Source organism: Homo sapiens, chromosome 2, assembly GCF_000001405.40.
Source record: "Homo sapiens chromosome 2, GRCh38.p14 Primary Assembly".
NCBI classification, from domain to species: domain Eukaryota; kingdom Metazoa; phylum Chordata; class Mammalia; order Primates; family Hominidae; genus Homo; species Homo sapiens.
This window is the reverse complement of record NC_000002.12, coordinates 234792695-234808549: the sequence shown is the minus strand read 5'-3', so window position 1 is coordinate 234808549 and position 15855 is coordinate 234792695. Positions and strand designations below refer to the sequence as shown.

General features: G+C 44.8%; 1 long non-coding RNA gene across 1 annotated transcript in view; it reads left to right on the top strand.

Annotated features, from left to right (window-relative positions):
- The window catches only part of LOC101927896 (uncharacterized), a 95712-nt gene extending 80340 nt beyond the window's left edge, over nt 1–15372 (top strand). Inside the window, exons 7-9 of the long non-coding RNA XR_002959457.2 lie at nt 4464–4645; nt 9690–9806; nt 14748–15372. This is a non-coding gene — a long non-coding RNA (uncharacterized LOC101927896). The remainder of the gene's footprint in view (nt 1–4463; nt 4646–9689; nt 9807–14747) is intronic.
- Nucleotides 15373–15855: the final 483 nt, after the last annotated feature.

Here is a 15855-nt window from a genome sequence, read left to right as displayed (position 1 = left end):
GTGGTGGCACATGCCTGTCATCCCAGTTATTCAGGAGGCTGAGGGAGGAGGATCACCTGAGCCCAGGAGGTAGAGGCTGCAATGAGCTGCGTTTGTGCCACTGCATTCTAGCTTGGGTGACAGAGAGAGACCCTTTCTCAAAAAAAAGGAAATGAACAAAACAACAATAACAAAACAAAACGAAATGCAACTTCGTGAGGCCCCACCCCAGATCTCCTGAATGAGAACCTCTTGGGTGGAGCCCAGCAACTTGAGTTTTCTCAGGCCCACAGGTGACTCCATGAGACCACTGTGCTGCACTATATTGCAGTTACACTGGCATGCTGTGCTGTGTATGCTGTATTAAGCCTTAGGTCTTTGCAGATGCTGCTCATCTGACAGCAAATCCTCTTCCCTATGTCAGCCTGGTGGACTCTGAATCTTCCTTCAAGACTCGTTTCCCAGGCCCTGAGAAGTCTTCTTTGGTCTCCTGACCCATGAAGGCATCTCCTTTCCATGCTGCCAGAGGATGCTGCATCCTAAGGGTTTCTTGCTGTCATTAGATACAGAGTTTGTTCTGGTGACTTAATTTCTCTGAGCCTTCTCTGCTAAGGGGCAACAATGATATTTACCTGCAGGGAGTTTGGCCCAGGTGATCTTCTGAATTTCTTTCTTGTTTTAAGAGCAATAATTAATGTTTGAATTTAAAGGCTAAATTAGCAACAAATAGCCTCCTCATTCCCAACCAATCTCTTAACACGCCTGTAATCCCAGCACTTTGGGAGGCCAAGGCAGGCAGATCACTTAAGGTCAGGAGTTTGAGACCAGCCTGGCCAACATGGTGAAACCCCATCTCTACTAAAAATATCAAAAATTAGACTTTTCTGACTAGGCTTAACTGAGTTAGGGACACCATTTGCAGGAACATAAACAATGTAGGGTGTCCCATAGAGTAGAGGGGAACCTCTGAGCAGGGTGGTATCTGGACTAGATTCCTGTTTTAAAGGAATTATTGTGGTTGGGTGGGTAGAGGGGTGCTTGGAGGACCCAGATGATGAGGTGAAGATCTGAGGTACTCCCAAAAGTGTTTGGGAGATGATACTTACAACACTGATTGCCATTTACAGCATTGTGCACCTATAATCCCAGCAACTCTGGAGGCTGAGACAGAAGAATCATTTGAAGCCAGGAGGCAGAGGTTACAGTGAGCCAAGATTGCATCAGTGCACTCCAGCCTGGGTGACAGAGTGAGACTCTGTCTCAAAAAAAAACCAAAAAACAAAAAACAAATTGGAAGCAAGCAAAACAAAACAAAACAAAAAACCATTGAGAAGAACCGTTTCTAGCATAACATCAAGGCTAAAATTATTCATATATAACTGCACACAACTTAAAAAAACTTGTTTTAGTTCATTTTCTGCTGCTATAATAAAATATCACAGACTAGGTAATTTATAAAGAAAAGTAATTTATTTATCTTATGGTTCTGGAGGCTGGGAAGTCCAAGACCTTGGTGCTGGCTTTTGCTTTGCTTCTGGTGAGGGCCTTCTTAATCTGTCATCCCATGGCAGAATGTGGAAGGGCAAGGAAGCATGAGGGACAGAGAGAACACAGGAGCTGAACTTCAACCTTTTTATCAGAAGGCAACTTCCACAATAACTAACCCACTTCTACAATAAATTAAGTGAACCTCTGGCAGTGGCCAGATTACTGGATTCTGCGGGTGACATGCTCCAAAGCACAGTGTCTCTGCTCAAAGCTCACGAGAGTGAGCCGACATTGCTCAGGTGCCCAGGCTTGAAGGGTGTCCACCAACACACAGCCAACACTCTGTGTTCTCCAGAGTGCAGGGCACTAATGGTGATCTCTGGAGTCCTGGGAAAGTCCTTGTCCTCCCTCTCATCTTCCCCCAGCACAGAACACCACAGCCAGTCAAGAAAGAGTGTGGCAGGCTGTGGGTGACCGGATGTGTAGACTCATAATCTAATTACCTCTTAAAGGTCCCACCTCTTCATATTGTTATAAAAAAAAAAGGCAATTAAATTTCCATATGAGTTTTGGAGAGACATTTAAATTATAGCAAAACAAAACTAAAATAATACAATAACAACACAAAACTTAGGAATGGTAAAAGATGCTAAAAATACATAAGATGCATAAAAACTGGAGAAAATATTTGAAACATGTCTGACCAGAAAATCCATAAAAAAAAGAGGCTAACTAAAAACTGGTAAGAAAAAATTCACAAAATAAATCCAAATGGACAATAAACTTATGAAAAAAATGTCCAGGGTTACTGTTAATCAAATAAATAAAACACTTGAGAAATGAGGCCCTTTTCACTTATATTGGCAGAGAGAAAATAAGTGAGAACTAATCGTTGGTGTAGATGGGGGATGGGGACTCTCCTGTATGGCCCACAGTGGGCTGCCTGGGCTCTTGGCTCAACCTTCTTGGAAAGTGATTGTGCATATTCAGTGGTGTGGTCAGGAAGAAGAATGTTTCTGCCTCCATCCATCAGATGCCATAATCAGAAACACTGATGGCCCATGGGCAGACAGCTTCTGTGGTCATTAGTGTGGCTTTCTCCTCTAGCTGGCCCTTTGCTTCCCACACCACTCACTGTGTTGACAGCCCTCTTCAATAGGCTTTGTCATTCTCATTCTTGGCAACAAAATCTATTTCATGTCAATTCCACTGTTCTCTTAATTCCTGGATGTGCCTGTTTATTCTTCTACCTTTACTTTTCTGACTAGGCTTAACTAAATTAGGGACACCATTTGCAGGAACACGAGCAATGTAGGGTGTCCCACAGAGTAGAGGGGAACCTCTGAGCAGGGTGGTGTCTGGACTAGATTCCTGTTTTAAAGGAATTATTGTGGTTGGGTGGTAGAGGGGTGCTTGAAGGACCCAGATGATGAGGTGAAGATCTGAGGTACTCCCAAAAGTGTTTGGGAGATGATACTTACAACACTGATTTCCATTTACAGCAATGAAATGAAGCTCTGTTATTCATTTTCGCTCTCACAACTGCTGTGTCCCTTCAACCTTAAATGGAGAATCCTTGAGTTACTTAGCCTCAGGAGGGGAGAAGGCTAGAGAAGTCCCAGGGGATGGAGAATGAAGATTATAGACCAAACAGCCAGGGCTGTGAGGCCAGGCTAGGATGGAGGTGCACCCCCCTTGATTTAAACTATGCAGGTTGAAAATTTAGCACAGCCCGGGCCTCTGAAGAAAGAGAGTCTGGACATTGAATACTGAAGTCTTGTTTGTCAGCTCTAGACAAGAAACCGTGTCCAGAACAGGCCTGCCACCTACTAGGTTCTCAGTGAATGTGTTGGGAAATGAATGAGTGGTTGCAACTGAGATGAATTCACACAGGTGTTAAAGCAGATGGTTGTCCATCGCCCTCCCTGCCTCATCCTTCTAGCTCCTACATTCTTCTGGCTCCTACATTTCTGTGTAGTCTGTGGACTTTCAAATGCCACCATCTACACCTCTCTGTCCACTCTGCCCACATGCCGGATAGGCTGGAAATGCCAGGGAAACCTTCACTCCACCCCAGCAGCCCTGAATGAGAGAAGCTAGTTGATAAATGTTCTGAGCCTTCACCCCTTCATGGGACAACCCCTTGGCATGATCCCAGCTGGCTCTCAGAGTTCCCCAGAACATCAAGACACAGTGGCCACAGTGGAAACTTATTTGGTAACAAACCCTTTATTGGCTTCTTGCTCATCCCTGTTTCACTTCTCCCTCCTGCACCTCTGTTTCCTGGTATCACCTTCTAAATACAGTACTTGCTCTTAAACATTTCTGATTCTATGTCTAGGGGAACCCATGTAAGAAGTGGTAGAGTCCTTAGATGCTCCAGAGCTGGAAGTGTATCCTTAAAGTCAGCAGCATAGCCAAGCAGTGAAGCACATGAGCTGGAATGCACTGACCTGGAAGTCATTGGCTTATTTTCTGTGTCTGAGAATCTTCCTATGGATTGTTATAACTTGCTGACAATAAGACAATATTTGCCACGTGGCACAAGGACTTCACATGGAAAGGGCTTCTTGAATACATGTATAATTTCTTTAGAACCTCACTCAGGCAGAATATGCCATCACCAGTGATGTGAGAAGAGGGTCTTTGCCCTTTTATCCCTTGTTGTCTATCCAATGCCTAGAACAGCAGTAGGAATTAGGTAGGTGCAGAATTCATATCAAATGAATGAAACTGATTCACCACAAAGGACTGGATTCTGTTTTGCAAACAGCATTTTCATATTTTTCATTTTGCGGTGTGCTCTGTCTGAATTAACTGTCCTATAACATCACTTACAATCACAACTCTCTCTTTGTGGCTCTGACTGAATTTTTGACCAGCTTTTATATTGAATAACACATTCTATGATTTGCAAAATGTTTATTTCAACCAATTTTATCAAAATTATATTTCTAGTCTTTTGTACAATTTAAGTTTGTTCATTCCCCATGAAGGTGTCACTTTATAATAAGTAGCGTGTACTCGCAGAGATGAATTCTGAGGAACTGAGGTCTCCTGCCAACAGCCAGCATCAACTTGCCAGTCTTGTGAGTGAATCATCCTGGAAATGGATTCTTCAGCCACAATCAAGCCTTCAGATGACGGTAGCCCTGGCTGAGAGCTTGACTGCAACTGTGTGAGTGATCCTAAGCCAGAACCACCAGCCAAGCCACTCACAACTTCCTGACCCACAGACACTGTAATAGATGTTTATTGTTGTTTTAAGCTGCTAAATTTAGAGTCATTTGTTTCACAGCAATAGATAATGGATACATATCCTAATTACTAAATAGGTAGAGATGAGACAAATGATCTGTAGGAAAGGAATACAGTTGTACAACAGCAAATAAACAATGAAACTGAGTCTGAAATGTGTCCTTATAAGGACAGAATTTTCTTTCTTTTCTTTCTTTCTTTCTCTTTCTTTCTTCCTTTCTCTTTCTTTCTTCCTTTCTCTTTCTTTCTTTCTTTTTCTCTCTTTCTTTCTTTTTCTTTCTCTCTCTTTCTCTCTTCTTTATTTTATTTTTCAGAGTCTTACTCTATCACCCAGGCTGGAGTGTAGTGGCATGATCTCTGCTCACTGCAACATCTGCCTCCTGAGTTCAAGCAATTCTCATGTCTCAGCCTCCCGAGTAGCTGGGATTACAGGCATGCACCACCACACCCAGCTAATTTTGTTGTATTTTTAGTACAGACAAGGTTTCACTGTGTTGGCCAGGCTGGTCTTGAACTCCTGGCCTCAAGTGATCTGCCTGCCTTGGCCTCCCAAAATGCTGGGATTATAGATGTGAGCCACAGTGCCTGGCCTAGGAAATAATTCTTTAAGGGAATTAATTTGCTGGTCTCTGGGGGCTAGTCTTGAATGATTGTCACTTAAAATCTTGTGCATCCAGGGAACCAAATATGTCAATATTTGCTGAGCATTCTTAATGGAGGTGGCATGAAAGTGAAAAAGGATTGTGTTGATAATACACTGTCCTGGGTTAAGAACCACACTCTGGTCATGTGAGTACAATCATGTGCAACAACCAGGAAGACTACTACTGTTCACTGGGTGCCATTTCTTCTGCACAGGGAGGTGGTGATAGCTCTTGTCCCATGTGGCAAAGGGAATCATCTGAGCGCTGAACCATCTGGTTTTCATTTCTCCCAATTTCTATTGATTGTCTCCCTGTGCCTCCCATGGTTCTTATCCCATAGATATTTTGCTAAAAATATAGCACTTTAAAAAAGTTTTAAAAATAGCTATTTGGGAGTAATTCTTAGCCTTGGCTAATGCAATAGCTGAAAGTTCACTTTCAGTGGAAATCAATAGATTGTGTAGAGGCTTTGGCTCCCTCCGGTCTGCCCTGTAAAAATGCGGGCTGCCTGCTTGACTTGTTTTCACCAAAGTAACTCCTCTTATCATCTGAGTAGTCTTTGTTAGGGTATCTGTGTTTCCTGCACAATCAATGCACATTCCTGGTCTGTGGTGGTGAAGGGGGTTGTTTGACCTGTTCACTCCCTTTGGGAAGAGGAAGAGTTTCTCTGTTGGAGGTCCCAACTGAAAACGAATCCTTCTTCGACATGGACCATCATGCATCCTATGGAATGCCAGCCAGTGCTGCCCATGAGCTGCAGCACTGGGTCTGTTAGGGTGCCCCAGCACCTAGCATAGTCTAGGCATATGAAGGGGCCCAATAAATGTTTGTTGAATGAATGGTTGATGTTCAAGCATTCCATGCCCAGTATTGTGTAGTTCACCTATATCTTGTCTCAAAATCTGCAATCAATGCAAAAAGTAAGTACACCTTGCAAATAATGTTTGAATATTCAACAAGTACTTAATGATCTCCTAATGTATTCCAGGCACCATTAGGTGGTGAGGCTCCAGGCCTGCTCATCTACCAAAGGAGGACAATAATATCAGCCTTTCAAGGGTGATAGGAAGATCCAAGGGTGGGTTCACTGCAGTGCCTGGCACAGAGTAGGTGACTATCTTACATGATAGTCGTCTGTCTGACTTGTATGACCTGTTTGGTTTTCTGGCCACATGGGTCTCCTGGTACTAGATAATTCCAAGCAGCAGGCATCTTTGTACCACCAGTGATTGAAAGTAATGAAATGGGGTGTCAGCCTCACGTGTGCTATGTACAAGAGATATGGCAGAAATCCTGGGAGACCCAGGTACATGTTTGCAGGACTGGCTACATAATTGGCATGTCCTAGTGCACAATGAAGATGCAGAGTCTTTTATTAAAAAATTATTAAAAATTTTAAAATGACAACAGTGGAGAATTAAACCAAGCACAGGCCCTATGAGCATGGGTCCTTGAGAGCTGGCACAGGCTGCCTGCTGGTGAAGCTGGCTCTGGTGTGCTACAGCCTTCACTCCTCTGGGCCCAGCAGGGAGCTCAGAGGATGCCCTGGGCTGCCTCCTCAGAGTGGATCTCAGTCACTGGTCTCAAGTTTTGAACCTTGGAGTTTGGGTGGCTGGACTAGTCCAGGATGATTCTGCCCTACACAAGCAATTTTTTCATGATCTAGCTTGGCCCCTCCAAAAGAACCGAGTCAAACCTTACGACAGGCATCCTGGCCTGGCGGCTGAGTCAGTTTAACAGTTTGAGGAGAAGGGAGCAGGAGGGGGTGTGTGCCTCATACCTGCTTTCCCTGTGGTCATTAATCATCCCAGACCCATCCTCCCTGCTCTGCTGTTATCTTCAGCAGCCCCTCTAATCCCATCCACCCACCCGGCTGCTGGTTCCCCAGGACGGCAGGGCTCTTTGATTCCAGCCATGCCATACTGAGTGCTTTACTGAAGCTCCAAGAAACATATCAGCCTTCTCATAGTAGGTACCTGTGAGGGCCAGCTCTGCCCATTCCCACCATTGGATTTGTCCCCAGATTTTTCTGGTGGAACCATGGGAAGCCAGGCCCTTGTTTGATGTCTGTGCAACATTCACATCCAAGGATTCAGGTCACTTTCCTATCTGGACCTGGGCCCAGCAGATAACTATACTGACCGGCAGGTCCGGAACATTCATTCTCTCATTTAACAAGTATTTATTGGACACCTACCGCGCCAGGCGCTGTTTTAAGCCTTGCAGATACAGCAGAGAATGGGAGAGAGGAAGGCATTTGTCCTAATGGAGCTTGATGGGGAGACAGGTAATAAATGAAACAATAAGTGCATTGGGGTGATCCAGCCAAGCTCCTCCACCACAGCCGGGCTAATCTCCAAAGCAGGCAGCATACAGGATGTCAGACAGGAGTGGAGGCAGCAACAAAAATAAAGTAAGGGAGGTGGATGGGAGGTGCTGGTGTGGGAGGCAGAATTTTAAAGTAGAGAGGCTGGGGAAGGGCTCCCGGGGGTCATGGGTGAGTAGATCTGGAGGAATTCCAGGTGGCCACAACCTGGGGGCATGGTCTTTGGTCCTGAGTGCATGACAGCCTACGCTTGACACAGAGGTGATGCCCTTTGTAGTCTTCATCTCCCACTCTATCCCAGCACCGGCACTTGCTCATTGGGGTCCATGATCCTACAACACTTGGAATACTTGGGCTGCTGCATCATTCTGTCCTGTTGCTGGTCCCTGCAGAAGGGGATAGTCCTGGCTTATTGGGCAGCCTTGGCAGGAAAGCTGTCCCTGTACCAGGCATGGGTTGAGCCTTTGGAATTGGTGGCCAATGTCCCAGTGCTGCTGCTAGTGAGGATTGTGAAGGTCCATGTATTGTCAAAAATGAACCTTCAATAACACTTATTGACACACACTTATTGGCCGTGTGTTTCAATAAAAAGGAAGAATGAAAGGCATATTCCAACCCATTGGGTCTGTTCCATGCTCTGAAAATGGCCTGACATTCATACCTGGTTTCTCTCTGGCCTATAATGGTCCCAGCTCCATCCTCCTTGCTCTGCTGTTATCTTCAGCAGCCCATATAATGCCACCCACCCACCTGGCTGCTGATTCCCCAGGACAGCAGGGCTTTTTGATTCCAGCTGCCCCACGCCGAGTGCTTCATAGAAGCTCCAAGAAACATACCAGCTGCCATGTAACAATGCCATGTAACACTTCTTTTCTCATCTTGCAGGCCAGAATTTAGTCATAAGGCCACATCTGATTTCAAGGGAGCCGTGGAAAGATAGTCTTTATGTGCACAGTGGAGAACCAGGGCCTTATCCCAAGGAAGAAGGGAGAGCAGGCATTGGGGGTGGGTAACCAGCCGTTATACCCTACACCTGGTGAGAACACTGACACCATTTGTCCTTTGGTGGAGAAATGAGGCACCCCTTTCCTGGGATAACACCTGGCCTTGTAGAGACCAGCATGGGTGGTCTTGGACCTAGACAGCCTCCCCAGTCTGATGACCCAGAGAGGCTGGTGGTGGACAATGCAGGACACATCAGATTTCTGGGGACGTAGAGATCTGCCCTCGTGCCTGGTGAAAGACCATTCTGGAAAGGCGACGTAGTGCACAGTGCTCTCCTGGTCTTTTTTTTTTTGTGAATTGTCCCCCCAAAAAGTTGGCCTTTATATTAGCTAAGATTAAATTTGGCTACCTATAACACAGAAACCCAAATAGAAGATGTCTGAAAGAAGAGAGAAATTTATTACTCTCTCATGTAAAGGAAGTTCAGAGGTAGGAAGTCCAGCCCTGGCACGGAGGCTCCCTGAGGTTTTAAGGGGTGCAGACACATTTCAACACTTTGCTCTGCTACCTCTGGGATGGAGGCTTCATCTTCTGGTTGAAAATGAAGGTTAGGCTGGGCGTGGTGACTCATGCCTGTAATCCCAGCACTTTGGGATGCTGACATGGGAGGATCGCTTGAGCCCAGGAGTTCAAGATCAGCCTGGACAATATGGCAAGATCCTGTCTCTACTAAAAACTTAGCTGAGCAGGGTGGCACTTGCCTGTAGTCCCGGGTACTTGGGAAGCTGATGGGGAAGGATCCCTTGAGCCCAGAAGGTGGAGGCTGCAGTAAGCTATGATCACACCATTGCGCTCCAGCCTGGGTGATAGAGCAAGACCCCATCTCTAATTAGAAAAAAATAGAAAGTGGTGGCTAGACTTTCAACACATCTATATTTTATGCTGCATGGTGGGACAAGGGGTAAGGGGAAGCAAAAGGCATGTTCCTGCTGTCTTTTAAGAATATTTTTGGAAGCTGCCATGTAACACCTCTGTTCTCATCTTGCTAGCCGTAATTTAGTTGTGAGGCCACATCTGACTTCAAGGGAGCCTTGGAAGGAGTCTTTATGTGCCCAGTGGAGAACCAGAGCCTTATCCCAAGGAAGAAGGGAGAGCAGGCATTGAGGGTAGGTAACTAGCAATTACGCCCCACACCTGGTGAGAACACCGACACCATCTGTCCTGACTCTGGGTCACAACTCAATGGATTGGGGGTGGACCCTGATCCAAGCCGGGCAAGCAGTTTCTCTCCCCCAAGAAACTTTAAACTGGGATTCAGAGGCATGAATCAGTCTCTGCAAGAAGCTCGAACTGTGGGTAGGTGGGCTTCAGAGAAGGGTATCGGCTTTCTTCCTGGGGAGATAGAGAAAGCTGGACTGCATAGAAGAATGAAAAAGGGGGCAAAAAAGAGGAAGGGAGGAGGGGATGAGAGAAGAAAGTGGTTGCAGGTGGGTTGTTAATGTGCTCAGCAGTTTTTTTTTTTTAAGTCTGACTCTTCTGCAGGGCTTCCCAGTAAGCACAAAGTGCACAGTGAGCTTTCTACGTGTTATGGGTTGAATGGGAGTGAGCAAAAAGATGTATCTATGTCCTACCCCCAGTACCTGTGAATGAAACCTTATTTAGAAAAAGCCTCTTTGCAAGTGTAATTAAGTTAAAGAGCTCAAGATGAGGTCATCTTGATGGGTCCTAAATCCAAGGACAGGTGTCCTTATACGGAGAAGGGAACACAGAGGGGAAGGCTGGGTGAGGATTAGAGTGATGCGGTGATTAATCCCATCTGCGTCCCTAGATGCAGCTCGTTGCTATGCAGCATCTTGTACAGACGGCTCACACATGTCCAAGTCTTCAGATAGTTGACCGAGGCCTTGCAAACAAAGGCAAACTCATACCTAGAATATACGTCGATTTCAGTCAAGACGAATCCCCTGTGCTGTCCAGAGTGTCAGGGTTTTATGTAATCACCTTGCCCCCAGGTGGCTGGTTGGACTGAAATTGTACCACATCCGGGCTCAGCATCGGTTTCTGTGGCTGGCAGACATGACATCTGGAAATAGCAGCAGCTAGATTGGCCTTAGTGAATTGAAGTTCCTTGCTGTCGAGCCATGCATAGTCTCCATTGCTGTCACGGTAGCTATTCCTTCCACAAACCCCTGGGGCCAGCACTGGGTGGATAATGACAGAGACTGACGTTTACTGCCTGAGTCCTTCTCTCTGCTTGTTGCTTTAGTCCCTCCCCTGCGGCAGGTGCTCTCTGGTGGGCATTAACTTGTGATATAAAGGTCTTCACTCTTTATGTCCACTTCCACAGGCCCATCCACACACCTCTCTCCCTGACTTCCTGTCTCCAGTCTTCCAGTCTTTCTACATGAATCTTCAGTCTCTCAACCTTGTACCTTCCAGGCCACTAACTATTCAGTTCAGCCATTTGCCACTGCCCATGAGTCAATGTATACTCTCAACTTGGGGTACATTTCTTTTCCACACAAAATGGATGACCAGGAAGGCGTTTATACCTTTAGGGTCTCCCCATCACTGTAGTTTTACTTTTAGGAATGTATCTCTTAGATCAGTATTGCCCAAGAAACTTGTTTCCCAAAATATTCTTTCAAAAATGGGGTTCGTGGTCAAAGATATTTGGAAAATTCTACACACTCTAGGTGTCCCTTGGAGAAATATGATTCATATTAGCATGTTCATGATTCTGAGAAGTCCTAACATAAAGATATTTTAAACCCATCGTCCCCAACTTTTATTCATAGAAATCTTTTTCTTTTATTAAGAGAGCAAACATATGTTGAAAATTACTAATTTTAATTAACCCCTAAACTCTGGATTTGAAAATGCATATACCCCTGGAGAGGTTACTGAACTACGTCTCACTTTTTTTTTTGTTTTGTTTTGAGATAGGGTCTCAATCTGTTGCCCAGACTAGAGTGCAGTGGCGAGATCTTGGCTCCCTGCAGCCTCGACTTCCTAGGCTCTGGTGATCCTCCCATCTCAGCCTGCCAAGTAGCTGGGACTACAGGCACGTACCACCACACCTGGCTAATTTTTTTTATTTTTTGTAGAGATGAGAGGTCTATGTTCCCCAAGCTGGTGTCAAACTCCTGGGCACAAACTATCCCCGGCCTTCGCCCCCCAAAGTGCTGGGATTACAGGCATGAGCCACCACACCCAGCCTACATCTCACATTTTTGTATAGATGAATGTATTTAATATTTTCTTTATGGATAGAGTGAGTTAATGCAACCTAAAAATTCTGGTTAGTGTAGTAGGAATTAGGAAGAGCAATTCAGATAGAGGAGGGAGACACATCCAAGATGACTTTTGCCCTGTTGACCATTTATCTTCTTTGGTCCTCTGCCAGTCACTCTGTTTATTAAAAGCAGGCTCCACTGACATTTGTGCAGTGGTGGCAAGTTGTAAAAAGACTTTTCTGAGCCTAAGATTAGTGGCGGAATTTATAGCAGTGCTAGAAATGGCAGCATAGAAAACAGAGCTGTAAATTACAGCCAGGGCTGTTAATAAGGAGGAAGATTCTTGCTGTCTAGGATTACCTTGGAGACTCATGGAGGCTGCAGCCTGGTGATCGTATGCAAAACCAGTGAGCTGGAGGGACCATTCGAGCGGGCACCTCCCAGGCCAGTGTCAACAGCGGCACAGTGCGGCTGGCATTCTGATTATGGGGCAAATCCGAGCCCTTGGTCTGTCTTTTGTTTTGAGCTGAGTCTCTTCAGTAGCAGCTGGCTTTAGAACCTTCACTGAAATTGCCGGTTATAAACACAAGCTTTTTGCATTGGTTATCATCTCCCCTTTAACATAGGGAGACTATTCTAGACCTGAGGTTTTGCAGGATAGTTTGCATTAATATTGATAATAGGTTAATAAATCTATGTCTGCAGACACAGGTAACCTTCACATATGGTGACTATATCTAGATTTTAGTTTTGTATTTAAAAAGAAGAGATATTTCGGAAAGCCTGTAGAGACAGAATCCCATGTCTTAGAAATGCACACTGTACAGCATGGATTGGAGTCTAGAAGTGCAGAGCAGAGAACTGTGCAAACAGTAAGTCAATGTGTAAACAGCAATCACCAAGGCATGGGGACTTATGGATTTAGCCCAAATTCCACTTAATACTGAGATCTATTTGTTTTTTTAATCCTTGTCTGGTCAGCAGCACAACACAATTTTAAAATACACGTTAACTCTTCTTTTGAAAGAAAAACCTCAGGCTGCTGTTGCCATGGGAAAGAGTGGGGAGTGCTTGGTCAAAAGACACAGGAAGTAACTGGGACTTCTGCATAGTTAAGAAACCCATCATCTTACTTGGAAATTATCTTCCCACTAAAACAAACATAAAAACAAACGAACAAACACACAGAACGGGCAGTCCATCTCAGTATTTCTGTTCCACCCCAGAGTTACGGGAGCAGGGAGAGTGGAGAGCTGCTTTGAAAGCTCACCTCCTGCTAAACCCTCATGAGAGAAGAACGAGTTTCCTTAGCTCCCATACTGCATGGATCTATGTAGCAGCCTTTAGGGACTGAGGAATCCAAAGCTGTAGGAATGTATGTGATGAAGACTTAGGGGCTATACTTAAATTGTGAACTTCACGCAGCTAAAAAAGAGAGTGAGAGAGAGAGAGCAACTGACTGAAGGCGTGAGAGCAGGCAAGGCAGGGTCACAGAAGAATATCATGACTTAAATACAACCAAGAGGGAGAGCTAGAAAAAGAAGCAGGGCAGGGGGATTTCTCATTTGGCCGGGCGCGGTGGTGCACGCCTGTAATCACAGCACTTTGGGAGGCTGAGGCAGGTGTATCACTTGAGCTCAGGTGTTTGAGACCAGCCTGGGCACCATAGTGAGACCCTGTCTCTACAAAAAATACAAAAATTAGCCAGGCATGGTAGTGCACCTGTAGTCTTAGCTACTCAGGAAGCTGAGGTGGTAGGATTGCTTGAGTCCCGGAGGTAGAGGTTGCAGTGAGCCAAGATTGCGATACTGCACTCCAGCCTGGGTGACAGAGGGAGACCCTGTCTCAAAAAAAAGAAAAAAAAAAGAGTATTATTTGTCACGGATATTGTCATAATTAAGGGAGATGTTTAATGTATACCCTTCATGCCACATCAATCCTTTCTGCTATCTTGGCAAAATTTTGTGTTAAAAGGACTCCTTTGGGGAGCATTAATCAATGAGGATATCTATCTTTTATTGAGCATTTACCAAGCGCCGTTGGGCTAAGCACATGGTGTCACGATGAATTCCCTTAGCAACCTTGAAAGTAGCCTCCATAACCTCTAGTTTAGTTGAGAAAATGAACACTTAGGAAAATCAATTGACCCACAGGGCTAGGTAGGGGCTAAGCTGGGATTTGAACCCAGGTCTTCAGAGAATGGTGAAGGATTCAAACCAGGTGGCCCTAATGGCAAGAAGCATCACGATTCAAGTTCCCTGAGAGGGCAGACTAGGAGGGAAATGTCCTTCCAGAGTGAAGCCTAAATGAGTCTTCCTTTCCCTGTTTGGGGTTTTCACCTGTTACACAAAGTATAGGAGCCCATGTAATTTTTCATAACAATTGGTGGTTTTGCTTTTAGAATTGTGTTGCTTCCAAAAACATCAGGCAGTCAACAGGGATGGTACAGTCTACTGGTTTCAGTCAGATGAGAACTATCGTTCTGCAACGATGCATTCTTAGTGAAATAATTGTGTATCAAACACAATGCCTGACTTTTAAAAGCTATAGGAGGTGAATTAACCCACAACCAATTTATATGACTCTCTTAATCTTCCAAAATGAAAATTTCAGTGCATAAATTCTAAAACACAGGACCTTGGTGTCAACTGTTTAAGGATCACCATTTGCCGACCGCTTTTTAAGACTAGTTTAATAGTAATTTCTGCCTATTTCTTTGAGTCATGACCCGTTAAATTGCCTGTGAATCTCTAGGATAAATTGTGTCCTTGGGTGACCAACTATTTAAATTGGTGATGACCACATTATGCTTGGAATATGTTTTTCCTTATCACTGATCCAGTTATTTTAAATTATAACTCTGTTTTTCAGTTTGTTTTCAACAAACTCATCAAATCTTCAGTCAACTCAAAGATACATGTATATTTGAAGTATTCAGGGAAGAGAACTAAAAAGATACTAATGAAACCGAGCTGTGTCATCAATCTCACCCTCTTTTAAGTTCCCAGAGACTGCAGTGCCCGGCCTTATGTTGGCACAATTTCATTGTGTTGTCACCCACGTTTATGCGGCTGTTTTCTCCAAGGCTGAGCCACTCCAGCTGAGAGCTGCGTCTGACTTGTGGCCTACCAGATGGTGGAGGCTCAATCAGTCTTTGCTGAGCAAATCAATGGATCCAACAAGTAGAACTGAATTATGGAGAAAGAAGAAAGAGGTGAAGCACGGACCGGGTAAGGCTCACCTGAATCAAATCAAAGGGTTTGGAAGACAAAGAAGATGAGTGGATGCATGCATAAGAATGAGGCAGTATCACAAGAGGCGCTGACTTTACAAGAGAATTATGATCTCCCCAGAGACAGACAATCTATCTAGAAAACTTTGCTCTCAGCTCCTGGGTAATTCTGGGTTAAATTAGCTCCATTAGCTCATAAAAACCACCATTAGCTCACCAAAACAAAAAGACATTAATAATAAAGAACTGTGTGTTTTTATAGCACTCTGCTTTTAGCAGCTTTCTCAGTGACATTATTTCATTTGAGCTTCTCAAAAAAAAAAAAAAAAGATTTTCTTCCCTTTTGGTGAGGAGGAGACTAAGGGGTTAAGTGGGAAACCCAAAGCCACCATTTAGTGGATCGGGGGTGCAGCTGGGACTAGAACACACAAGTCTAATATTGTTTTCACTGCTTGAGAAAATAGGACAACCCTAAGGGCCGGCCTGCCTACCCTGACTTGCATGAAAATTGCAAAGAAGCATTTTTATTGAAAAGCTCTACTGCTCTTTTTGGGAAAACCGCTTTCGAAGGGCTGTGTAAAAGGAAAATTGATGGCGGTAATTATGTTCCTTTCAATGTCCCCAGACATCTGCCGGGCTTGCCATTGTCCCGCACCCCGGGGCCTGCACTGCGGTGTCTGCGGGCTGCGCTCAGCCGGCGGGAGCGTCTGAGTCATTTTCCAGGCGGCTTGCTTTGCGTGTCAGCAT